The sequence below is a fragment of the Homo sapiens genome, chromosome 1 (assembly GCF_000001405.40).
Source record: "Homo sapiens chromosome 1, GRCh38.p14 Primary Assembly".
NCBI classification, from domain to species: domain Eukaryota; kingdom Metazoa; phylum Chordata; class Mammalia; order Primates; family Hominidae; genus Homo; species Homo sapiens.
The window spans coordinates 167,429,306-167,454,316 of NC_000001.11; the positions used below are offsets into that span (position 1 = coordinate 167,429,306).

Consider the following 25,011-nt stretch of genomic DNA (forward strand, 5'->3'; position numbering starts at 1 on the left):
CTAGCACCATAGCTCACTGCCCACTGCCAGCTTTTCTTTTTGCCTCTTTAGACATGTTATAAAAAAATTATATATATATATATATATTTTGAGATAGGGTCTCCTTCTGTTACCCAGGCTGGATTTCGGCTCACTGCAGCCTTGACCTCCTGTGCTCAAGCGATCCTCTAGCTTCAGCATCCCAAGTAGCGAGGAACACAGGCACATGCCGCCATGCCCAGCTGTATTTTTTTGTAGAGACGGGGTCCTCCTGTGTTGCCCAGGCTGGTCTCAAACTCCTGGGCTCAAAGGATTCTCCTGCCTCAGCCTCACAAAATGCTGGGATTACAGGCATGAGCCACCATGCCCAGAATGACATATTCTTGACAGAATTGGATCAACTCACTTTTCAAACCAGCCATCCAGGTCACACAGCCTGTATATATGTCAGCTGACCTTGAAACTTGGTCTAGCACAAGCCCTCGATGTGAGAGGCACTCTCTTTCACTAATAGATGAACCAGATTTCAGTTTTAAAAGCCCAGTGAGTAGCAGAATTCCCCTGAGGCTGAGTTACAAATCAAATGCCTTCTCCTTATGAGTTGCCTGTGAATTGTTAAATATGCCTAGTGATGATGTGCGTGGCTCCTGTTGGAATCCCAAATTTTCAGGGGCTTTAACAGTCATGGTCTTGGATTTCCTTTTTGAAAATGTCAAGGTATAGATTTCAGTCTTTACACAATATTAGTTGGTGGGCTTGTTGAATTGGGGCCCTATATATAGCCACTGCAGTTAGAGGAAACACTGCTAGGGACAGGGCCACCTTTTGTGAGAGAAACGCCTAAAAGACTTGTTCTCCATCCCTCCCTCAAACCCTATGCACTGAGACATTTTGCACTGTGGCGTCAGCTGCTGTGCATAACTTCCGGACACCTTCTGCTCACACGCTGTCTATTCTGATGCCTGGGTGCCAGGCCAGCCTTTCGCGCTTGTTTTCCTGCACCTGACAAGCTGGTGCCGTGCTGCAGGGCTCCTTTCCCATAGCCCTCTCTGTTTCTGGCATAAGACTGGGCCCATCCTGACACATTGTATTGCACCAAGCCCCACTCTCTCTGTCTAAGGCACAGCCACCCAGCCGGGATGCCCGGCCCACTTGCCGTGTGTGACACCACCCATATTGCCGCATTCCGGGCCGCAGGATGCACCTGTGCTCATGTGCTCGTTCCCAGGAACTGTCCTGTTCTCTCCTGAGAATCAGCAGTTTTGCTCCCCTCCTCCCCCAAGGGCAACCTGCTGATTTACTGATGACTAAATTGCCATTACAAGCTTGACTGCTGAAATAAAGCTTAGTAAAGCTGCATTTTCACTGAAGCATTTATTATGCAAAATAGGAAGGCTTTAGCATGCCAGTATAAATTAAAACAGTAGAAAAAAAGCAGAGTAGAGAGCGTTTTCCATCCATGGCCTGTGCCCTGTAATGACGCAGCAGTATCCTAGTACATTGACGGGTTTTTCCTGTCCTGCCACTGTCCGCTGGGCAGTTATAGGTCCCATGTGTTGGGTCTTCCTGCGAGGCCTTCACAAAGATGATTTTGTCATTCGCTGAAAGCGTGAAGTGAATCAACGGCCTCCTCTTGCTCCGCAGCACTTTATTCACACTGTGTAACCACATGTTTTTTATGCCACTTTGTGCACAGCTCATCAAGGTCAGTCTGTTCATCTTCTGGCCCCTGTAGCACATGGTACAGTTCAATGGTGCGGCACAGAGGCCTGAGGCAGGGAGGCTCCCGCTGCCCTCGCAGGCCCTGGCTGACCCTCCCCTGCCCGCCCACCTTCCCATGCCCCTGCAGCTCCCTGGTTGCACCTGGCCTAGGCTCCTTTCCATCTGCCCCTCTGCCCGGCCCTCTCACCAGGGAGGCACAACATGGCCCAGTACAGTTACCTTGAAAGGAGGTGAAGGTGACAACAGAAGCCAAATTTACAGCAGGAGTGAAGCCACTCAGACACAGAGTGATACAGACATTAGGGCATGTGCTAGCATCTGCGCTTTCTCTGGGGACTTTACAAAACAGACTCAACAACTCAGCTGTGAGAGGCAGTGCGCCCGCCTCCCAGGGAGAACGAGGAACCGCCAGGAGACAGGTCTACCTGCACCACCGGCAAACCAGAGGGCCCAAGGCCAGGGCCGTAAGCCCTGGGAGTACACTCCCTTAAAGAGTGCAGGGACAACAGTCTGTGTGTGAAGGTTTGGAGCTAAATATAACCAAAGCATCCTGTACATAAAGGGGAATACTTCAGTGGCTGAGAAGAGTGAACCGGGTTGTAAATGCTTCATCCTGTGTCTCATAATCTGGGCGTCTGCAGGTCTGGCCTTTGAGTGGTGAAATCCCCTGGCTGTTAGCGAGGGGGCAGGGCCTGCATGTGAAGGGCGTCGTAGGTGTCCTTGGTGGCTGTACTGAGACCCTGGCGTGAAAGCAAATCAGAAAACAAAGAGTGGGTCAGTAGCCTGTGTGGGCAGGAGCCAACCCAGAGGCCAACAGGTGTCTCTGCAGCACAGCCCTGTGACCACCCACCCAGCCTCCAGAGGCCCAGGAATAATCCCCCTGGCCCCACGGGCAGGAGCCTTGGCTGCAACAGCTTCGTTGGTAGATGGGTGCTGTGCCCTGCCGGGAATGGCCTTGCAGCAACTCCTTTCCAGCTAAATTCTCACCCCTCTTCTCAGCTCCTCAAATGCTGTGCCTTACAGTGCTTGGGCCCCGCCAACTTCCTGCTGGACCTAAGAGAAAGGAGTCTCCCACCTCCCATATTGGGCAGGAATCAGGGGGGAGGGCCCAGACCTGCTCCAGAGAATCTGCTGTCCCTGACACCTGGGCCCAAAGGAAGCCTGGACTTGTCACAGGGAGAAGAGGGGCTCCTTGGCCTCAGCCCTCTGTGAGCCTCCTTCCCTTCCCAGGCCCGGTGATTCTAGTGTTTTCTTGGTCACGAACAGGCCCACAAGGCTGGCCCCAAACCTGCTGGAATGCCTGTCCCCCTGGTCCAGGGGCCAGGAAGGAGAAGGATCAACAGCAGCCACACACAGGTAAGTTTCTGGGGCCCTTTTGATATCACTCAACTCAGGCAAGCTGGGCATCCTGACACTAGAGTCAGAAGAACGAGCTATGAACAGCCCATGGGAGCCAGAAGGAGGGAAATGACAACCCGCTGGGGATCATGTTTTAGAGAAGTAGTTTGACCGTGCTTAGTTTGCATAATTGCCTGCACTGATTTGCAAAAACCAGGCACCTAACTACATAACATTTTCTTTCTGAAGCTGCCATTTTTCTTAGCTTTTTTTCCTTCAGTCTTCCCAGCCAACCTCTCATCTTACTAGGCCTAAGGAAATGATGCAGAGTGAGGGTTCTACAAGAACCCAAAGAGGCAGGATAATCACTTGTGTGGTCCTTTGCCTCCATCTGCATCGGCGGGGAGGCTGCGTACCCTCTGGACAGCTGCTGCTCTGTCTGCCATGGCCAAGCAAGGCATGGTTGGAGCCAAGTAATTCGCTTGAATGGCCAAGTCCCAGCTGTGCTCCAGGGACTTATTGGCAGTGGCGTTGCCACTGGCCTAAATGGGTGCCTTGGGCTTGCCCTGCCCAGCTGTTGGCAAGAGCTGGTGCCACCAGCAGGCAAAATGTGGGGGCCTTGATCTTGCCCCTTGTCAGGTGGTGCCCCTTCCACTGAAGGGACGCCGGCAGCTCCTACCTGGTAAAGGCCATCGTGCCCCTTGCCCCTCCGGCGCTGGTTGTTTGGGAGTGAAATGAGAAAAGGATTAGAAAGTCAGGCAGTCAGTAGTGGCATTTCTGCTCAAGGGCCCCTCCCAAGGTACCCAGGAAGTCAGAGGTAACTGTCTCCCAGCAGCACCCCTGCCCCTGGGAGAGAAGGATCCTCAGGCCCCTGGTCAGACCTTCATCTCTGCAGAGTAAGGTGAGGCCTGGCCATGATGGGGCTTGGGTTTGCTCCACCCCACTCAGATCCTCACAGACATCAGATTCCTAAGGTCTAGGGCCCGCAGGACCTATATTGCCTACTGCTTAGATAAATGGGCTTCCCTTCAGCTCTTAAAGTTCTTGGCTAGTCATTTTTGCTCACTGACAACCAGCTGTTTTGAGCAGTTACGAGCTCTGGCATAGTCAGTTCAATCACGTGCCCGTTTACCAGCTAGAAGACCTTGGGTAAGTCACTCAACCTCCTTGTGCCTTGCAGGGCACATGTTTCTCATTGGGTTGTTGTGGGAATTAAATAAAACTACAGAGAACCCCTGCTTGGAAGGGGTCAATGCTTCACTCTCACCATTTTGAAATTCTTAATTGTTGATGAACAATTAATTGTTGATGAACAATTCTTAATTGTTGATGAATTGTTTTCATGTTGTCCTGGGACCTGTGGTCCTGAGCACTGAACACGGCAGCACATATTAAGCACTCGATGCTTCCTGTTATTAAAACGGACCTGCTTTTGCAAAGCTTAGGCTGTCATAGAATCTAGATGTGGTTTTCTGTACTGAAAGAGCATCAGCCCTTCCTTAGTTTCTTATGTTCTGCCCGGCTGGGTGACAGCCAGGTTCGCCTTCACCTCTGATGGCCACCACATGGGCATTTGCAGCTGGGATGAGAAGTGGATGGGAAAGGAGGCCTGCAGCAGGCGTGTCTGGAGGACCAAGAGGAACTCCCTCGGAAATTAAGAAACAGCAACACTCACCTCGCCTTTCATCCCAATCTCACTGTAGGCCTCCGCCATCTTATCTTTCTGCAGTTCCTGCAGAAGAGGGCGTGGAACACTGATTTTTACCAACTAATGCAGAAAGCAGCAGGTTCCCCTACAACAGGAAGCTTCTTGATCCCCAAGTTGGCAGCAGTGGCAGACAGGGAGGGCTCCCACAATCAAGGCTCCAAACCTTATGCACACAAACTTCTCTGCCCACAACCAGCTCCAGCCCACCCCCCTCATCCTCAGCCCTTTGGAGTCTCCTCCGAGCTGCCAGCTCTTTGCACTGAGCTGAGGGGCTCAAGTTAGGCTCAAAAAGATAGGAGGTGGAGTTCTAGACAAAGACACGGAGACTGGGCAAAACAAGGGCTCACCTGGAGCCCCAGAATCATTTATCTGAGCAAGTTGTCTCTTTACACAGCCAAACGGGCTGTAGATCAACCCTCCCTCCCCACAGGAGGGGCGGGGAGGCATCTCCTTCACAGAAGGCTGCCACCTGCAAGGGTCTCCTGCATGGCAACCCAGATCGACAATCAGGGTTCAGGGTCACACCCAGGAGGGTGAGGTTGACCTTCCTATAGGGGGGTACACTCAGAAGACTTCAGCACCCAGGACAGGAGCCCCTCGAAGGGGCCAGCCACCTCGTCCTTGCCTAGCTTGACCTTGCTGTGTCCCCCTACACCCCAGGCTGATCAACCTGGGAACTCCAGCAGCAGGGTTTGGGGAGGGAAGGGAGATTACTCGGCACTTTTCAGCTAAGGAGACTTTCTAGAAGCAGGTGCTGCTGCAGGCCGCAAGCAGGTGAGACATTACTCGATCCAAGAAGGGAAGGTCTGGACAGACAAAGACCACAGAGTGAGGAGCAACCGCCTTCCTCTGGAGCCCTCCTCCAGCCCTTCCTCCAGCCCTTCCTCCGGAGCCCTCCTCCAGCCCTTCCTCCGGAGCCCTCCTCCAGCCCTTCCTCCAGCCCTTCCTCCGGAGCCCTCCTCCAGCCCTTCCTCCAGCCCTTCCTCCGGAGCCCTCCTCCAGCCCTTCCTCCAGCCCTTCCTCCGGAGCCCTCCTCCAGCCCTACCTCCAGCCCTTCCTCCGGAGCCCTCCTCCAGCCCTTCCTCCAGCCCTTCCTCCGGAGCCCTCCTCCAGCCCTTCCTCCAGCCCTTCCTCCGGAGCCCTCCTCCAGCCCTTCCTCCAGCCCTTCCTCCGGAGCCCTCCTCCAGCCCTTCCTCCAGCCCTTCCTCCGGAGCCCTCCTCCAGCCCTTCCTCCAGCCCTTCCTCTGGAGCCCTCCTCCAGCCCTTCCTCCAGCCCTTCCTCTGGAGCCCTCCTCCAGCCCTTCCTCCAACTTTCCAAGGTCAAATGTGAGGTCTCCTCTACTCACATTGTACAGGCCTTCCTGAGGGTTCTTCCTTCTCTGCTAGGAAAGACAACGGGAAGACGTTAGAGGGAGAGAAACACAAACCCAAGCCATGAAAGTACAGCAAACCCCATCCTGCCCCCTGACTGCAGTTTCCTGGGGCTCTGCCGTCTGCCTCTCTCCTCCCTGTGCTACCCCAGCCTTGCCTAGGCCACTGTTGGGGCCCTCATGGCACTACATGGCTCATACTTGGTTACCTGCAACTGGATACACACTTCGCTCTTCCAGAGGGGCCCACCCAAGCCCAGCATTGCCCAGGGCAGGCCATCGGGACGCCCACACACATCACAAGCTGACAAGTGGGACTTTTGGCTGAAGACAAAAGGAGTCACATACCATCATTTGGAGCAGGGCCAGCCACTGGTAGTGAGTGCCTACTGAAAGGTGCCCTCCCCACACCCTCCTAGTCCTGACAAGAGGAGAGGAGGCAAGATAAACTTGGATGGTGGGGGTGAGGAGTGGTCAATGAAATCGACAGCCTCTCTACTGCCCATTCACTCTAGCAACAACACAACCAGCACAGGGATCAGCCTGGACAGGGGCTGGATGGACAGGCGTGACCACTGGCAGCATCTGGCAGCACTGCCCTTACACCAGGACAGCCCTGGCCTTTGTCCTGAGCCCTGTGCTTAAAAGGACCCTAACAAGTCAAATTTAACAACACATTAAAAGGATCATTCAGTGTGATCAAGTGGGATTAATCCCTGGGATGCAAGGATGGTTCAACAAACGAAATCAATAAACATGATACACCACATTAACAGAATGAAGAACAAAAATCATGATCATCTCACTAGATGCAGGAAAAGCATTTGACAAAATTTAACATCCTTTCATGCTAAAAACTCTCAACAAATTAGGTATAGAAGGAATGTGCCTCCACACAATAAAGGCCACATATGACCAATCCACAGCTAACACCACACTCAGCAGGGAAAAGCTGAAGCCTTTCCTCCCTTTCTTCTAAGATCTGAAACAAGACAAAGATGCCCACACTCACTACTTCTATTCAATATAGTAACATAGGTCCCAGCCGAGCAATTAGCAAAAGGTGCCAAGAATATACAATGGGAAATGAATGGTCTCTTCAATAAACGGTGTTGGAAAACCTGGATATCCACAAGCAAAATAATGAAATTGGACCTTATCTCACACCGTATACAAAAATCAACTGAAAATGGATTAAAGACTTAAACATAAGGCCTGAAACTGTAAAACTTCCATAATAAATCATAGATGAATAGATATTTCTCAAAAGAAGACATATAAATGGCTAAGAGACATATGAAAAAATGCTTAACATCACTAACCATTAGGGAGATAAAAAGTAAAACCACAATGAGATCACCTCACACTTGTTAGGGTGCGCATTACCAAAAAGACAAAAGACAACAATAGTTGGCAAGGATGGAGAGAAAAGGAAACCCTTGAACACTCTTGGTGGGAATGTAAATTAATACAACCATTATGGAAAACAGTATTGAGGCTCCACAAAAAACTAAAAATAGAACTACCATATGACCCAACAATCCCGCTTCTGGGTATTTACCCAAAAGATTTGAAGTCTGCTTGTTGAAGAAATGTCTATACTCCCATGTTGATTGTAGCACTATTAACAATAACCACGGCTGGGCGCGGGGGCTTACACCTGTGATTCCAGATTGTAGTCCTATTAACAATAACCAAGGCTGGGTGTGGTGGCTCACGCCTGGAATCGCAGCACTTTGGTTGGCTGAGGCGGGCAGATCACTTGAGGTCGAAAGTTCGAGACCAGCCTGATCAACATGGAGAAACCCCGTCTCTACTAAAAAAACTACAAAATTAGCCAAGCGTGGTGGCGCATGCCTGTAATCCCAGCTACTCGGGAGGCTGAGGCAGGAGAATTGCTTGAACCCTAGAGGCAGAGGTTGTGGTGAGCCGAGACTGTGCCGTTGCACCCCAGCCTGGGCAACAAAAGCTAAACGCTGTCTCAAAAAAAAAAAGAAAACAAAACAAAAGAAACCAATAACCAAGTTATGGAATCAACCTAAGTGTCCATCAAAGAATGAACAGATAAAGAGACTGTGGAACATACACACAATAGAATACTATTCAGCTTTTAAAAAGGAAGAAATTCTGTTATTCACTCTAACATGGATGGAACTAGAGACCATTATGCCAAGTGAAATCAGCCAGGCACAGAAAGACAAACACTCCATGTTCTCACCTATATGTGGAATCTAAAACAGTTTAACTCACTGAAGCATGGACAGGTAGCATGATGTTTACCAGAGGCTGGGGAATGGGGGGAATGGGGAGATGATAGTCACAGGGTACAAAGCCTCAATTAGATAGGAAGAGTAATTTATTTTTAGATCAACAGCACAACATGCTGAATATAGTTAATATGTGAGTACTATACATTTTAATATCTCTAAGAGTAAGTTGCTAATGTTCTCATCACAAAAAAGTTAAAGATTTGAAGTGATAAATATGTTAATTAGCTTAATTTAATCATTTCATATTATATTCAAAAATCATAACAATACTTTGTACCCCATAAATATGTAGAACTATAATTTGTCAATATAAAATAAATAAAGACAGAGGAAGGAAGGAAGGAAGGAAGGAAGGAAGGAAATCAGAATGAAGGGGAAAAAACAAAGAGGACCCTACCCTACTGTGGTGTCATCCAGCTGCTCCCCTACCCACAGGTATACCCACAGGTATAGTGTCTACAAAGCCAAGAGGTCAAACCCCCCAGGGACCATACCCCGACCATATGTGGGTTATCCAGGGGTCTTGGGCCCTTCCTGTATGGACCTCTTCACCAGGTCTGTCCTCTTGGGGCAGATGGCGTCACCGTATGTGCATCTCAGGATGGCCAAGGAGCAGTTTGAGGGGAAGTGGGTAGAGCTTAGACATGAGCAGTGGGGTGCCACGTCCGGGGGTGAGGCCCCTTGAGATGCAGAATGGAGCCAAGGAGGAAGGAAGAGGGTGCGGCAGCAAGTGGGTCTCCATCTCTTCTCTTGTCCTGGGCCCACACATGTGAGGGTCGAGTCTGGTTGCAGAGTGAGCTGAGGAGCCCTCCCCCACAGCCTGGGCTGAGCCCCACCACACATGCAGGAACACACAGGAAGGTAGAGGAACCCCTACCGGCTTTCCCCCCATCTCAGGGTCCCGGCCACGTCTCTTGTCCAAAACATCGTACTCCTCTCTTCGTCCTAGATTGAGCTCCTATAACAGATAAGAAAGTGTCAGACACAGGACGGAGGAACCTCAGAAGGATGGAGCCAGCTGGACTGGGGAGTGTGGTTTCCCTCTCTGGGGTGGCTCATAAAAAGAGGGGCAGGGGCTGGGGAGGGGATGGTAACTGGTCCATCTGGAGACCATCATCCCAGAGGACATCTCAGAGAACACGCCTTAACATGACAGTGGATGGGATCCCCAAAGGTCACCAAGTACTATAGGCTGATCAGTCCAACGGGATAAGGATCAACATTCTCATGAGCAAATAGAGAAGTGGGGGCTCAGAGGTGGTAGTCAATTTCACCACAGTCCCATTGCACAGGGAGTGTGAAATCGCTTTCCCCTCCTCTGGGAAGATTCTAATACATTCCTTCTCCACCCCCCTCTAGCCTTTGCAAATTGCTGATGGCTTGGGGGCTCACTAGTGGCAGGCACTAGACTAAGCTCGTTCCATGCATCAAGACATTAAAGCATGTAATCTTTATGGCGCCCTTTGAGACAGGTACAATTACTACACCTGTTTTGTGGGTTAGAAAACTGAGGTTAAACAAGTTGCAGCCGGGTCGCAGAGGTGATAGCTAGGGACCAAACCTAAACCCAAGACTCTGGCGGGCGCGTTCCCTAGGTCCGAGGAGGAGGCTGCCCTTCCTTTCCGGAGGGTCTACGGCGAGGCTGACTTACGTTATAGAGCTGGTTCTGGCCCTGCTGGTACGCGGGGGCGTCTGCGCTCCTGCTGAACTGCAACACAGAAAGCAAAGCGCGTTACTGCTCCGCGAGGGCGCGCAGGGGAGCCGGGGTGCCAGGGCGCGCGGCGACCCGAGGGACAGCCCTACTCCGCTCCTTGGCAACTAACAATGCTGCCCTGCCTCCTGGGGCTGAGCCCTTGCAGGGGCCGGGGCGTGGCAGCCCCTTTTTCTGAGCCCAGTTGTCCTTTTTCCTCCCGCCTGTGACACGTGCATTCATCACGCTGGCCCAGGACCCGCTGGAGTTTATTCTTCCCGGGCTAGCGCCCTCGCGCGTGCGCAGAGGTATAAGGTTCTTGGTCTGCGCCCCCGGGGACATGAGTATTCTCTAGGATCCCTTCCTCCGGGGACTCTGAGGACAATCCAGGGTGGATGGCGGCTGGTCAAGATCCCGCCTCCTATCTTGACCCCCGGAGCAGTGTACTGTACGTGCATCACTCGCCCAGCCCTCAGCCATCGCCCGGCTGCCCCGGTGCCCAGGAAGCCTCGCGTTCGCTTAGTGTCCTGAGCATCTGTGGGAAGCTGACACAGCCTCACTCCTGCTTCACTTCATGCCGCTTCAGGCGGGAGAAACTGCAATGTCTTACAGATCTAGAGCATTGGAAACAACCTTAGAAATCATCTAGGGCAGCATTTTCAAACTTAAAACAAGAAACTCAGTAAGATTTGGTTTTTCAAATAAAATATTATGCCAAAGTCCAAAATTCAAACAAGAAATGGGTTGAGAAGCACTGAAGTGATGACTGGGACTGGATTCTCCCCTTTACTCCTAAATTCTTCCAATCTCTGCCCACACCATGACCAGCCCCACGAAGAAATCCAGGGTCTGCAAGGCACCAAGTGAAAAACCCACGCTCTGGTCAGCTCCCCAGTTACAGATGAGGAAAGGGCCTTTTCAAGAGAAAGGCTAACATGGCCTTCATTCACACTTGGAAAGAAGGACCTCTGCCTGAGTGTAAGCCCCTTTGTCACCAGTAGCATCGCCTTCCCTGGGACACTCTGATGTGCACACATTTGTACGGCTTGTCATGGAGGTGCCTAGCACCAGGCTCTCCCTCCTACCCTGTCCATCTCAGCCAGACACTGCCACCTCCTCCTCAGCCCACTCAAGGCACACACTTGGCTGGTCCTTGCTTTGCTCCTGGATACCAAGCCCCAGGCACCACCCGAGCTTGAGACCTTCCAAGACCAAGGCCCCTCTGAACATCCATCAAGTGGGGGACCCCGTGCCCTCCTCCCAAAGCCCAGTGGTACCCACCTTCACTCTCAGGAACAAGGCAGTGAGAATGACACCATAGATGAAGAGGATTCCATCCAGCAGGTAGCAGAGTTTGGGATCCAGCAGGCCAAAGCTCTGTGCCTCTGTGCCAAGAGATAAAGCTGGTCAGCCAGGCCCAAGGTGACGAGAACACATCCCCATTACCCCAGGGTGGCACTAGGACTGACTGACCAAATAAATCATGACACGGAGACTATATCCAATCCCCATGCCTCAGCCTGATCACAACCCTCTCCCTCCCTCCCACCTCAACCAGCTCCTGGAAAACCTATTGGCACCAACGGCAGATGTGGCCGCTGTGGGGCCAAAGAACCTGGGGCAATGGGAGGGGAGGTGGAAACAAGGCGAGCAGATGAGGCTGTTCTCTGTGCACAGAGCTCCTGCCACTGCAGCAGAAGCCCAGCCATGTTAGCCCCGGTGTGAACCAAGAACTCTGGAAGCCTCGGGAAGATGTTCACGTCTGGATGAATGGTACTCCTGGCCTGAGGTGTGTGGCTCTGAGGCCTACCCACAGGGAGACAATAGGTCAAATGATGGTCAAATGAGATCATTTCAATATCTGACAGTTAACTAGGACAGGGAGAATCTGGGTTAACTCTCCCCCAACTCCCTGCCTCCTCAGTGCCAAGCACTCTCCCGCCTAGGACAGTGGGATCTGGTGCTCGGCTTCCCTTCCCTGTTCCCTGAAGGGTTTCATGGCCAACAGACAGAGGTACCTTTGGTGCCCCTCCCCACCTAGGCCCAGCATCTCCCTGTCCCCTAGTCCCAGCTCCATGGCCTCAGCCTTCTCTGTCTCCCCTCCTCCCACTACACACACCCCATTCCCAGGACACGCCTTGCTCTTCCAGACTATTTGCCCTGTGCCTTGCACTCTCTGTTCCCTCTTCATGTTCCCTCCATTTCTCTCCCTGAAACCCTACTATTTGGTAACATTTGATGCATCCTACAAAATGCAGCTCAAAGATCCCTTCTGTGTTAGCTTCTCCCACTGCAAATTTCCCAGGGGCCCCTAACTCCTAGTGCCATATTAACCTTTGTCAAGCTGTAGTTAATGCACGTTTAGTTGGCACTGCCATTGGAGTACAATGGGCTGAAGAATGCAGATACACTAAATACTCTGGTTAAATAAAAGTTTGCATTTTTGGGCTGGGGGCGGTGGCTCACGCCTGTAATCCCAGCACTTTGGGAGGCTGACATGGGTGTATCACTTGAGGTCAGGAGTTCAAGTCCAGCCTGGCCAACGTGGTGAAACCCCATCTCTACTAAAAATACGAAAATTAGCTGGGCGTGGTGGCTGGCAGCTTTGATCACAGCCACTCTGGAGGCTGAGGCAGGAGAATCGCTGGAACCTGGGAGGCAGAGGTTGCAGTGAGCCGAGATCACGCCACTGCACTTCAGCCTGGCACACAGAGTGAGGCTCCGTCTCAAAAAAAAATTTAAAAAGTTAGTGTTTTTATTTGGAACATCATTGCACTGTGAATGAGGAGACTCAGATTTTAGTCTGACCATACTTCCTACTAGGTAAACGTGCAGCAACTCAACCTGTAAAACAGGGTGTGGTACCCATCTCACTCCACCCCTGCCTGGTAACTAGAGCAGAGGTCCCAGGCCAGCCCCGCTAGTGTCTGTCTCCCAAGGCCTGGGCGCCCTCTGGTGGCCTTTGGACCCAGATGAGGGCAGAGGGAGTGGAGGCCATATGTGGGAGTGCTGTCATTCTTTCTGGCTGTGTGATTTGGGGCAGGTTATGTATGCTCTGTCAGCTGCCTCTTCTGTTGAACAGGGTGAAAACTAACATTTCTTCAGACACTGCCTTAAATGTAATCATCGTCAGATCCTCCTGCCACCCACACTCGGACACTGAGGCACCGAGTATTCGGGTTCAGAGCACACGGTCACAGGCAGCCCAGGACTGATCCCTAGCAGTTCTCGCCCCCTTCCTGCCCCTGGGCCAGCCCTGCCTACCCCTCCATGCCAGCAACGTTTTGGCCTCCCTGACGAACTATGGAAGCAGATGATTCAAAGGCAGCCGCCAGTGTCCCCACCCCCACCACCCTGAATCCCTCTGTCCCCTGGCTTTTGACTCCAACCCTAATTCAGGACCCCTCTTGCCCCCAGGCAGCTGATCTCTACAAACCTCCCACAGACCCTGCCCAGAGACCATTGATGACCCAGCCACTCGGACGAGAGTCCAAGCTCTTTGTCCAGCCATGTTAGGGCTCTGCCATAACCAGTCCAGGCCTGAAAAGACCACAGCTTTGTGCCACCCTGTCCCTCTGCTCTTGTCTTTTCCCCCCATTCTTCCTTGAACACCCATATTTTTCTACCCCCTGGCCTGCTGAGCTAGATCTTTTTCTAGGCTTGCGTTCTACCCCTCCACTCAACACCTGTTGAAATCAGACTGTCCCACCACCTGAGCCCCTGAGGAAAAAGTGAGAGGATGTCGGTTCAAGAGCCTATATCCCCCAAAGCGCTCTACAAACCCAACTCCTCAGGACTCAGATGCCCCTCCATCTAGGCTGTCAGCACCTGAGACCAATGGCTGCATCTTCATTATTGCCTCTTCCTCCAGCCCCAGCATCAGAGTGCAGGGCACAGGGTAGACAATCACTCGATATCATGGAATTTTTCAGGGCTGAACTTCAGTGATGAGGAAGATGCTGGGCCCAGCCCCAGGTGTGCCTGCCCTCTGGCCCCAAGGTATTGCTGGAAGTCCTCACTGACCTAGGGACGATCTAAAGGCCTCTGGGGGACAAGCCAGCCCCCATGAAGGCCACCAAAGCTGGGGTGACTTTTTGCTGTGAGGACTGCAGAGGAGATAACCGTGGCGATTTATGGGACTGGTTGAGACTCAGAAGAAAATCCAGGAGAAAATCACTCAGCTGCTTGTCACAGAAAATTAGAACAGAAAAATTACTGGACAGTAAATTTAGCACAAATAAGAAATATTTCTTTGTGTTGTGCAGACTCAGCACAACACAAAGGGGCAGGGGGATTGGGCATGTCCCTGAGATAAATAATATGAACAAGTTTCCTTCCTTTCTTCCTTCCCTCCTTCCTTCTTCCTTTCTTTCTGCATAGTTTTATGACTGATGACAAGTGTGCTGTGTGTGGTTGGGTGGAGGAGAGGATATTAACCCCAACATAATTCCCTGTGTAGGACCCTCCTCTCCTCGGTCCCACTATACCTGTGCTGGGAGAGATGGGCCTGAGGAAGACAGTCATGGCCCAGAAAGCTCCATGCAGGGATGCAGGACCTGATTCAGTTACGCAATTAATTAAATATTCATTGGGCATCTGCTCTGTGCCGGGAACTATTGAAATGGAATGAACTCTGGATTGCGTGCAGGTGGGTTCGAGTACTTCTCTTGCCACTTACTAGCTGTGTGGTTTTGGACAAGTCACTTCCCTCTCTGGGCCTCAGTTACCTCATCTATTAAATGGAGGGTAATCATATCTACCTTAAGGGTTGTGATGAGAATCAAAAGACAATGATGTCTGATATTTGGGTCGAGTCTTCTGAGTCCCTGCCCTCATGGGGCTTAAGTCTTAGCTCTTGAGGCCGCACACAAGGTGTAGGAGCTTCCCTGGACAACAGACAGTTTTGCAGGATGCCAGCTCAAAGGCACCGCATCGCCACTCTCTACTTGGTCCTGGCTTCTTCCCTGTGCGCGCTCCTGTGGCTTCTTCGTATTTCTACCAATTCCATCCCAAAGGGACCAGCAGCTGCTTCCTAGGAGGTTTCAGGGTATTACATGGTAGCTACTTTTCTGTAAAAGTGGAGAAGCTGTTTTATTTAATGTTCCTGATCCCTACCCAAGAGTACAGCACCCAGGAGAACCTCAGCATCTGAAAGGAGCCCCAGAGACTAATAGAGCATTCTCACACAGACTCTCAATCCACCGCCCTCTCCCCTGAGGCTCTGACTTAAGTGGCCTGGAGTGGAACCTGGGCATGGGGACTTCACTGCATGGCCATGAATGGATTGAGATTCAGACCTGCATCATTACAGGGGCCACAGCATGTGAGAGGGAAGCCCTGCCTTCTGTAGAGATGCAGCCATACCCTACAACAAATGTAAATTTCTGTCAAACAGATGCAATAAAATTAAAGCTTTGGTCCTTCTTATACACTGTACTTCTGAACTGTGTATTATGGAACTTCTCTAAGCCTTCGTTTTCTCATCTGTAAAATGGGGATAACAACACTACCTGTCTCATTAGATGGTGGTGAGGGTTAAATACGATACTTTTTTTTTTTTTTAAGTGGAGTCTCACTCTGTTGCCCAGGCTGGAGTGCAATGGCATGACCTCAGCTCACTGCAACCTCTGCCTCCCAGGTTCAAGTGATTCTCCTGCCTCAGCCTCCCAAGTGGCTGGGATTACAGGTGCACACCACGATGCCCTGCTAATTTTTGTAATTTTAGTAGAGATGGGGTTTTGCCATGTTGGTCAGGCTGGTCTCAAACTCCTGACCTCAAGTGATCTGCCCGCCTCGGCCTCCCAAAGTGCTCGGATTACAGGCATGAGCCACCGTGCCTGGCCAAATATGATACTTCTTATGGGGTGAGGATAAAATAAAATAATTCTTATGGGGTGAAGGACCCCATAAGGGTATGTGTTCCATTTTGCCACCTATTGTTACTGCCATGATTTCTACTTTAAGCCCATGCACGATAAGTTGGAACCTTCCTGCCCTGTAGCAAGATCCCAGGAATAGGCCATGTGAGATGCTCAGAGGAGGCTGGGGGCAGCCAAAGATGATCACAGAGTATCTAGGCATACGGGTCATTGTATCTAAGTGTTGTGAGTCTAATTAGTGACAGTGAGCCTCGCCATCCCTTTGTAGCCTTTTGTCATCTTCATTAAAAAAAAAGCCCTGAATTCAGGAAGTCTCATGGTACTGACCACTAACAGGAAGATTCTGGAGCCCCAGAGTGCACCCTGGGGGAGACGCACCTATCCTTACAGAATCTGGTTTCTCTGGGTGAGATTTACTTGAATTGCGTTGTTTGTCTGTCTGTCTCTGAGCCAGACTATGAACTTCTGCTAACAGGGATCAGGCCTTAATCAACCTGGTCCTGCCATACCCTGAGGCTGAAAATACACGCTGGTGCCCTTTCCCCTGCAGTCAACCTCCTTCTCCAGCAAATCCTGTTTCGGAGCTGGGCATCTGCGGGACTTACTCACATCCAACTAATAAGGATTCTTCTCATTTGAACTCTAATTTCTACTTTTAAAGTGACTTCCTGTGTCTGATGGAGTTAGATTCTTATGAGTGCCAGGAGACAAACAGGGGGCTACTTTTGGGCCCAATTCACAGGTGGATAAACTGAGATCAGAGGAATGAAGCAACTTCACCAAGGACACCTGCAGGTTAGTGGCAAAGCTGGAAGGGAATTCCTGGGTCTCCTGACTCCAGGTACTTCTCTTAGCCTTATGGCTTCGATGCAGCTGACCTATGGGCTCAGGATCCGGAGTTTCCACCTACCTCTGATTTCACAGCCCTTGCCATTTTGCCCACTTTTGACACTTAGTCACAACGGCTTGTAAACGTTCCACTTCAAGTCCGCCCCCCACCACTGGCTCTGGCAAGCACAGATGGTGCCTTATAGTTTCATTTGCACCTTTCCCTCCTCACCCGCACATCACAGGCTTAGAGAAGAGCAAAGAACATAATAAGTCTTTGAGTCAGAAAGACTCTAAGACTCAAATGTGGAATCTGCCCCATTATTGGCTTGTTTTGGAACAGTTTTCTTAACCTCTCTGAGCGTCAATTCTCCTATCTGCAGAAGGGCTTTGACAAGACCGATTTCACGGGTGCAGAGAAATGAGGTAAAGTTTGTGGGGTGCCCTGCACAGTGGCGCATGCTAAGAGGCTCTGCAGGTACAAGGAGTGACAGCAGGGGATGGCCCTCTGACCTCCCACACCATCATGCCACGGTTGGGGACAGAACCTGGCCAGGTTTCCCAGCCCAGGATGGGGATACCCACTCTTCAGGGGTGTTTGAAGATAAAAACAGATAATGGGGGCCAGGCGCGGTGGCTCACGCCTATAATCCCAGCACTTTGGGAGGCCGAGGCGGGCGGATCATGAGGTCAGGAGATCGAGACCATCCTGGCTAACATGGTGAAACCCCGTCTCTACTAAAAAATACAAAAAAATTAGCCGGGCGTGGTGGCAGGCACCTGTGGTCCCAGCTGCTCAGGAGGCTGAGGCAGGAGAATGGTGTGAACCCAGGAGGTGGAGCTTGCAGTAAGCGGAGATTACGCCACTACACTCCAGCCTGGACAACAGAGTGGGACTCCGTCTCAAAAAAAATAAAAAGAGATAATGGGTGTGTACAAAGTGCCTGGCACACAGTGGGAGCTCAGTAGTGTGTAGACTTTCTGAGAACTCCTCACTTCACAAAATGATAATGATGTAACACATGCATGAAGCATACAGTTTAGAGAGCTCTTTGCACTTGCATGATCTGGCTTAATCCTCAGAACAACCTTGCACAATACGGGCAGAATTATTACCAATTCTATTTTGCAGATAATGACGTTGCAGCTCCAATAGGTCACATGGCTAGAGATTTTCTGAGTGCATCTGATGCAAAGTCCCTTCTCAATCTACCTTATCCCAGTGCCTCTGGGGTTCCTGTCATATAGAGAGCTTCCCACCTCTTTCAGGAGTTTCTTCTTTGGTAGGCACTTCTGGCCTCTGCTTGAATATCTCTGGTGACAGGAAGCTCAGCACCCAGCAATCACTGGTGGAGAGCTCTAATTTTCAGAGTTAAAAAAAAAACTTTGAACCTAGTTCTGCCTTCAGAAGCACAAATCACACAGATCCTCCAATTTCTATAGGGCAGCCTTTCAAACCTCACCCCCGTCCAGCTTGTTTCCACTTTGATAGGAAGCACGGCAGGTAAGAATGAATCCTACGAAGGCGACAACTGCAATCCAAGTCCTGGTGTTGCTACTGTGTAATCACTGAGTAATCACAGCGACCTCCCAGGGTGTGTGACACTCAAATGGGAAGGGCTTGGTACCTGGTAAGCGCTCAGTTTGTAGGCACTGATGGAATCAATATGAATCACAGTAGCTCATGATCCAGGTAGGAGTGGCCAGCTTTCTACTCGCCAACCTTCCTTCCTTTGAGTCCCCAACTTTGAGCCCTGAGTCCTGCTGCTGCCAGCTCCACCCCCAGGCTCAGGCACAACTGGTGATGACATTGCAGGGTAAAAACTTAGAAAACAGGAAGTCACTGTTCTTAGGAAGGCAGTGGCAGCAGCTATGGGTGGGGGGGTGGGGGCGGTGTCTGTGTTGGGCAGGGTGCTGGGTGTGATGCCGACCCATTGACCACAGCATCCAGGCACCCAGACCATCCCCCTCAGTGGGTTGCTCCCTTTCATCGAATAACTAACTTTCACTGCAGCAGAAAAGATATAGGCTAGACACACAGAGTAATAGTTATAACCACTGGTTGAAGATTTGTTCTGGGCCAGGAACCACACGTGTGAGTTTTCTCATTCAGTCTTCACAGTGACTCTGATTTCACAGCTAGGGAAACTGAGGCTCAGAGAAGTTAATAACATGCCTAATGTCTACAGCCAGGGTTGAATCCAGGCACATCTGGATCCACAGTCCAGGTCTTAACCACCACTTGGTACTGACCTTCAAAGACTTGCTGATCCTCAGAGGTGGTGAGAGGGGTCCTCACCAGGCTGTGGAGTCCCTTCTCCCAGGATCGAACCATTATAGCAGGTCATATTCTTGACTCTACAATTAGCTTTCTTTCATTGAGGGCTGAGAGGCCGGCCTGGGGGGTTGACAGATACAGAAGGCCTGCTACCAAATGTGAGGCCAGGACTCACACTGCCCAGTGCTTATAGCAATGACCCACTGGAGATACCTCAATCACCCTGAACTGCAGAACGACTCCAGCTAATTTACTGGCAACATATAATGTTTTACTACTCTCTTTAATTTGCTACCAGCCTGGCCAACAGGGTGAAACCACATCTCTACTAAAAATACAAAAAATTAGCTAGGTGTGGTGGCGGGCGCCTGTAATACCAGCTACTCAAGACGCTGAGGCAAAAGAATCGCTTGAACCCAGGAGGTGGAGGTTGCAGTGAGTTGAGATAGCACCACTGCACTCCAGCCTGGGCCATAGAGTGAGACTCTGTCTAAAAAAATAAATAAACAAAAATTTTTTTAAAAAGTACCACAGCCTCCTTAATTCTCTCCTCAGTGTCAGATTTCAAATATTCATGTTTCATTGTAAAATTGGATCATTTGTTCAAAACTACCTACAAATTATGTATTCCCATAGATAAGGGTTCCAAGGGAAGAGGGAAGAACAGGGCTGTATGATTTCTTAGGGGTAGCGCTTTATGAGCAAATGTTTCTCTTCTTGTATTTTTATTTCCATTAAAGTTGTTATGTTTTGAGCGATACTTTGTGATCATTTTTCTTTTCTTTTTTTTTTTTTTTTTTTTTGAGACAGAGTCTCGCTTTGTTGCCCAGGCTGGAGTGCAGTGGCATGATCTTGGCTGACTGCAACCTCCGCCTCCCAGGTTCAAGCGATTCTCCTGCCTCAGCCTCCCAGGCAGCCATGATTACAGGCACCTGCCACCACACCTGGCTAATTTTTTGTATTTTTAGCAGAGACGGGGTTTCACCATGTTGGCCAGGCTGTTCTCAAACTCCTGACCTCAGGTAATCCACCCGCCTCAGCCTCCCAAAGTGCTGGGATTACAGGTGTGAGCCACCGAGCCCAGCCTTTGTGATCATTTTTCTTTTCATTTTCAAGTAAATCAACTTAATATAAAAGTGCAGAAAAGTAGGAAAAAATCAGAATTGCCCATAATACCACTTTCAAACACAGCCATTATTAATATGATGGCAGATGGCTGACCAAAGTCTTTGTTATTTATAAACTGTAATCATTTTACATAACAACTTTCCACGGGCAGGTGCAGTGGCTCACGCCTGTAATCCCAGTACGTTGGGAGGCCGAGGTGGGCAGATCGCCTGAGGTCAGGAGTTTGAGACCAGCCTGGCCAACATGGTGAAACCCTCTCTCTACTAAAAGTATGAAAATTAGCCGGGCATGGTGGCACGTGCCTATAATCCCAGCTACTTGGGAGGCTGAGGCAGGAGAATCACTTGAACTTGGGACGTGGAGGCTGCAGTGAGCCAAGATTGCGTCATTGCATGTCAGCCTGGGTGACAAAGTGAGACTCTGTCTCAAAAAAAAAAAAATTTCCTGAAGAATTGTTTTTTTCATTTAGTATTATGTTATAATCTAAGACTTCATGTTATTTCATATATTCATATTTCATGTTACTTTGTCATTTTACTATTAATAAATATCCTTTTTAAAGGTTGCCTAATAAGCTTTCCACTATCTACATAACCATTCCCCATTGGTGCTCATTTGTTTCCAATTTTTCACCATTATAAATAATTCTAAGATGAACAGCTTCATTCCTAAAGCTTTTTACAGGATTGGAATTCCATCAATAATAGCTTGAAAAATGGGCCAGGTGCGGTGGCTCAGGCCTGTAATCCCAACACTTGGCGAGGCCAAGCTAGCAGGACTGCTTGAGCCCAGGAGTTAGAGACCAGCCTGGGCAACATGGCAAGACCCTCCCTCTACAAAAAATAAAAAATTAGCTGGGCATGATGGTGCATGCCTTAGTCACAGCTACTCAGGAGGCTGAGGTGCGAGGATCACTTGAGCCCAGGAGGTCAAAACTGCAGTGAGCCCTGACCGTGTCACTGCACTCCAGCCTGGTTGACAGAGTGAGACCCTGTCTCAAAAAAAAATAAGTGAATAAATAATAATACTTTGAAAAATGAAAGCTAAGACTAATAGTCCAAGAGATAAATCAGCAAAAGATATAAATAGGCAATTCGCAGAGACAGGAAAACAGATTACTTACAAACATATAAAAAGACATACTGGGAGCAGTGGCTCATGCCAATCCCAGCACTTTGGAAGGCCGAGGCAGGCAGATCACTAGGTCAGGAGCTCGAGACCAGTCTAGCCAATATGGTAAAACCCCATCTCTACTAAAAATACAAAAATTAGTCAGGCATGGTGGCATGTGCCTGTAGTCCCAGCTACTCGGGAGGCTGAGGGAGGAGAATCGCTTGAACCCAGGAGGCACAGGTTGCAGTGAGCTGAGATCGAGCCACTGCAATCCCACCTGGTGACAGAGCAAGCATCTGTCTCAAAAAAAAAAAAAAAAGAAAAGAAAAGAAAAGACAGTCTCAGTGCTAGCCAAGGAAATGAAAGTATGAAGTGACAAAGAGATGTCTCCTGTTTTTCACAGGTGGTCAGAGCGGGCTTCAGCTGTGCAGATCTGTCAGGGAAGGGCACTCCGGGCAGAGGAGCAGAGGTGGAAAGGCTGTGTGGTGGACCTGTGCCCAGTGTCTCTGAACTGCAAGCAGGGGTAGGTAGCATGAATGAGGGGAAGTTCTAGGAGACTAGGAAAGAGGGCGACAAGCGTGTGGGGTTGTTAGGTAGAACTTCCTTGGCCAGTGGCTTTTACTCTGAATGAGATGGGGAACAGCTGCAGGGTTTTCTCTTTTGACAAGGACACATTATGTTTTTATTTAAAATATGGTAATAACATTTCAAAGAAAAAATTAAAGCCAACTGGAACAAGGCAAGGTTCACAGTTGCCTTGGGCCCCTGGGCTAACTGGAGATGCCCCGGCAAGCCCCAGGACAGGCTTCAAATCAGCCCTAAAATCCAGGCTATACTGCCAGCCTCCATTACCTGTCTGCATTCAGCCAAACATAGTCATTGTCATCTCTTCTTCCCCTGGTCCTCAAAACCAAGCTCTTCCTACTCTTGCCCCATAAACCACCCAGAAAGTGGTTGTTTGTCCTGAAAGGGTGAAACCCATTCACTCTTTTGCTCCTTCCTCATCCATTAACACTAATAATCCCTAAGCCTCCATTTCTGTTATGGGCTGAATTTTGCCCCCTGAAATTCTTATGTTGAAATCCTAACTCCCAACACCTCAGAATGTGACCGTACTTGAAGAAAAGGTCTTGAAAGAGGTCACTAAGTTAAAATGAGGTCATTAGTGGGGGCCCTGATCCAATATGACTCGTGTCCTTGTAAGAAGACAAGATTAGGTCGGGCGAGGTGGCTCACGCCTGTAATCCCAGCACTTTGGGAGGCTGAGGTGGGTAGATAACCTGAGGTCAGGAGTTTGAGACCAGCCTGACCAACATGGTAAAACCCCAACTCGGCCGGGTGCGGTGGCTCATGCCTGTATTCCCAGCACTTTGGGAGGTGGAGGCGGGTGGATCACCTGAGGCCAGGAGTTTGAGACTAGCCTGGCCAACATGGCTAAACCCCGTCTCTACCGAAAATACAGAAAAATTAGCCAGGTGTGGTGGTAGGCACTTGTAAACCCAGCTACTCAGAAGGCTAAGGCAGGAGAATTGCTTGAACTTGGGAGGCAGAGGTTGCAGTGAGCCGAGATCACGCCATTGCACTCCAGCCTGGGCAACAAGAGCGAAACTCCATCTCAAACAAAACAAAACAAAACAAAAACCATCTCTAATAAAATACAAAAAATTAGCTGGGCATGGTGGTACACCATGAGGCTTCAGGAGGCTGAGGCAGGAGAATCCCTTGAACCCGGGAGGCGGAGGCTGCAGTGAGCCGAGATTGTGCCACTGCACTCCAGCCTGGGCGAGGGAGCAAGACTCTATCAAAAAAAAAAAAAAAAAAGATGAGATTAGGACACAGACATGTACAGAGGGAAGATGCCGTGAAGATGATGTAAAGACACAGGGAGAGATGGCCACCTACAAGCCAAGGAGTGGCACCTCACGAGTGGTCATGTGGTGGCCATCCTTACTAGGAGAAAATGTCACGCACTGTGCTGGGCAGTGAGGGTGGAGGTGACAGACACAGATGTAGCCTCCCAGCCGAGCAGAGAGGTGGGCAAGGAAACAAATCATCCCACGAGAGAGGGGCACAGGGTGCTAAGGAAACATGAGGGAGGGACGATGCCTGCAGTCACGCTCTGGGAGTAAACAATGACAGGCAAGTGATCTCCTTTGGTGAGCAGGTTGCATGTTTCAGTTCCCTCCGCTCATTCCACCAAGAGCCCCCCAACGCCAGTGGACAAGTCTCTCAGGTTAGCAGACAACACTTGCTATATGCCAGGCACATAGAGTGTAAGATACACACACACACTTGCATACATATGTGTATATACACACACATAAATAGAACAATACAAACATATATGTATGCATGTACATATATACATAGAGAGCAATATGTGTGTGTATGTGTGTGTGTGCATATATATATATTATAGATATATATTATATATATATATATTATAGATATACAGAGAGAAAGACACTTATTCTTACCTCTTGTTGCCAACTTGGACATGTAGCTTTCTCTGGCTGACTCCAGGGACTGATGCTGTAACAATCATTGTCATACCAAACATTTGCTCTACACTTTCAGTTTACAAAACCCTTTTATATTTTTTATTTCATTTGATCCTAACAACAATTGAGTGAGGTAAGCCGGGTAGATCTTATTTGCTCCACTTTGCAGATAAAGAGACTGAAGGTCAGGGAGGTGAAGTGACTCTCCCGCAGTCAAACAGCTCATGTGTCAGAGCCTGGACGAGAAGCCAGGTCTTGCCGGGCCTTTGTTCTTTCTCACGCAGCACACTGCCCTCAAGTTTTGCTCTTGAAAATTAGCACCATTTCAAAAAAATCTACTTTCGAGCAAACCCCTTATGTCAAAATTCCAGGCAGTATTTTGCCATTTCTCTGAGAATTTAATTTTTTCTGAGGATAAACTCTCACAGTATACAGAGAAAATAATGTAAATGTCCATCAACTAGGAACCTGATAAATTTTGGTGTATTCATATATAACCGTTAAAAAAAACACAACAGATAATTCTACATGTGCTACCATGAAAGATCTTCAAGATAATTAGGTTTTAAAAAAGGTGGCCAGGTGCAGTGGCTCATGCCTGTAATCCTAGCACTTTGGGAGGCTGAAGCTGGAGGATTTCTTGAGCTCAGGAGTTTGAGACATAGCAAGACCCGTCTCTGCAAATAATGACAATAACAAAATTAGCTGGGTGTGGTGGCACACACCTGTAGCCCCAGCCCCCTCCTCCGGAGGCTTAGGTCGGAGGATCACCTGAGCCCAAGAGGTGGAGGCTGCTGTGAGCTGTGATCATGCCACTACCCTCCATCCTGGGCAACAGAGTTAGACCCTGCCTCAAAAACAAAAACAAAAACAAAAAAAGCTCTAGATACTTGTGTATGAAAAAAACACTATGTAAGCTGCATATATATGTATATATACATAAAAATATATCTAGATGGAGTTTCTGTTTGGGATGGTGAAAATGTTCTGGAAATGGATAGTGCTGATGATTGTACAATAATGTAAATGTACTTACTTCATGTCACTGAATTACACTTAAAAATGAAAATAGTAATGTTATATTATTTTACAAGAAAAAACACGTTAAAAATATATGTATATCTGGAGGGCCGCACACACAAAAATGTCATCCACGGTTACTTCTGCAGAGGAGCCACGGGAGGGGGAGGCTGGGTGAATTTCACTT

The 25,011-nt window shown here is 49.5% G+C and overlaps 1 protein-coding gene across 6 annotated transcripts in view, besides 9 other annotated features; it reads right to left on the reverse strand.

Moving 5' to 3' along the window:
• Positions 458–1,364: an enhancer, noted in NCBI's record as "OCT4-NANOG-H3K4me1 hESC enhancer chr1:167399000-167399906 (GRCh37/hg19 assembly coordinates)". NCBI's record gives its function as "activates a minimal SCP1, AML or CMV promoter by ChIP-STARR-seq in naive and primed H9 embryonic stem cells {active_cell/tissue: H9 hESC(naive and primed)}" and the evidence as "EXISTENCE:reporter gene assay evidence [ECO:0000049][PMID:30033119]".
• Positions 903–1,092: an enhancer, noted in NCBI's record as "active region_2039". NCBI's record gives its function as "activates an Ori minimal core promoter by ATAC-STARR-seq in GM12878 lymphoblastoid cells {active_cell/tissue: GM12878}" and the evidence as "EXISTENCE:reporter gene assay evidence [ECO:0000049][PMID:35858748]".
• CD247 (CD247 molecule) overlaps positions 1,335–25,011 on the reverse strand; it is an 87,890-nt gene continuing 64,213 nt past the window's right edge. For 2 of the 6 annotated variants that reach the window (NM_000734.4, NM_001378516.1), the window contains 7 exons: positions 11,359–11,462; positions 10,039–10,095; positions 9,265–9,345; positions 6,094–6,126; positions 4,715–4,771; positions 3,719–3,754; positions 1,335–2,441 (listed from right to left, as the gene is read on the reverse strand). In NM_000734.4, coding sequence (NP_000725.1) covers positions 2,376–2,441; positions 3,719–3,754; positions 4,715–4,771; positions 6,094–6,126; positions 9,265–9,345; positions 10,039–10,095; positions 11,359–11,462 — 434 coding nt within the window. In that variant the 3' untranslated portion in view covers positions 1,335–2,375. Of the gene's footprint in view, positions 2,442–3,718; positions 3,755–4,714; positions 4,772–6,093; positions 6,130–9,264; positions 9,346–10,038; positions 10,096–11,358; positions 11,463–19,037; positions 19,183–25,011 lie in introns of all 6 variants that reach the window. The other 4 variants (NM_198053.3, NM_001378515.1, XM_011510145.2 and 1 more) reach the window with 3 other exon arrangements.
• Positions 1,365–2,271: an enhancer, noted in NCBI's record as "OCT4-NANOG-H3K27ac-H3K4me1 hESC enhancer chr1:167399907-167400813 (GRCh37/hg19 assembly coordinates)". NCBI's record gives its function as "activates a minimal SCP1, AML or CMV promoter by ChIP-STARR-seq in naive and primed H9 embryonic stem cells {active_cell/tissue: H9 hESC(naive and primed)}" and the evidence as "EXISTENCE:reporter gene assay evidence [ECO:0000049][PMID:30033119]".
• Positions 1,365–2,312: a biological region, named in NCBI's record as "OCT4-NANOG-H3K27ac-H3K4me1 hESC enhancer GRCh37_chr1:167399907-167400813".
• Positions 1,763–1,812: a silencer, noted in NCBI's record as "silent region_1523". NCBI's record gives its function as "represses an Ori minimal core promoter by ATAC-STARR-seq in GM12878 lymphoblastoid cells {active_cell/tissue: GM12878}" and the evidence as "EXISTENCE:reporter gene assay evidence [ECO:0000049][PMID:35858748]".
• Positions 2,023–2,122: an enhancer, noted in NCBI's record as "active region_2040". NCBI's record gives its function as "activates an Ori minimal core promoter by ATAC-STARR-seq in GM12878 lymphoblastoid cells {active_cell/tissue: GM12878}" and the evidence as "EXISTENCE:reporter gene assay evidence [ECO:0000049][PMID:35858748]".
• Positions 2,243–2,312: an enhancer, noted in NCBI's record as "active region_2041". NCBI's record gives its function as "activates an Ori minimal core promoter by ATAC-STARR-seq in GM12878 lymphoblastoid cells {active_cell/tissue: GM12878}" and the evidence as "EXISTENCE:reporter gene assay evidence [ECO:0000049][PMID:35858748]".
• Positions 2,583–2,642: a silencer, noted in NCBI's record as "silent region_1524". NCBI's record gives its function as "represses an Ori minimal core promoter by ATAC-STARR-seq in GM12878 lymphoblastoid cells {active_cell/tissue: GM12878}" and the evidence as "EXISTENCE:reporter gene assay evidence [ECO:0000049][PMID:35858748]".
• Positions 10,109–10,238: a silencer, noted in NCBI's record as "silent region_1525". NCBI's record gives its function as "represses an Ori minimal core promoter by ATAC-STARR-seq in GM12878 lymphoblastoid cells {active_cell/tissue: GM12878}" and the evidence as "EXISTENCE:reporter gene assay evidence [ECO:0000049][PMID:35858748]".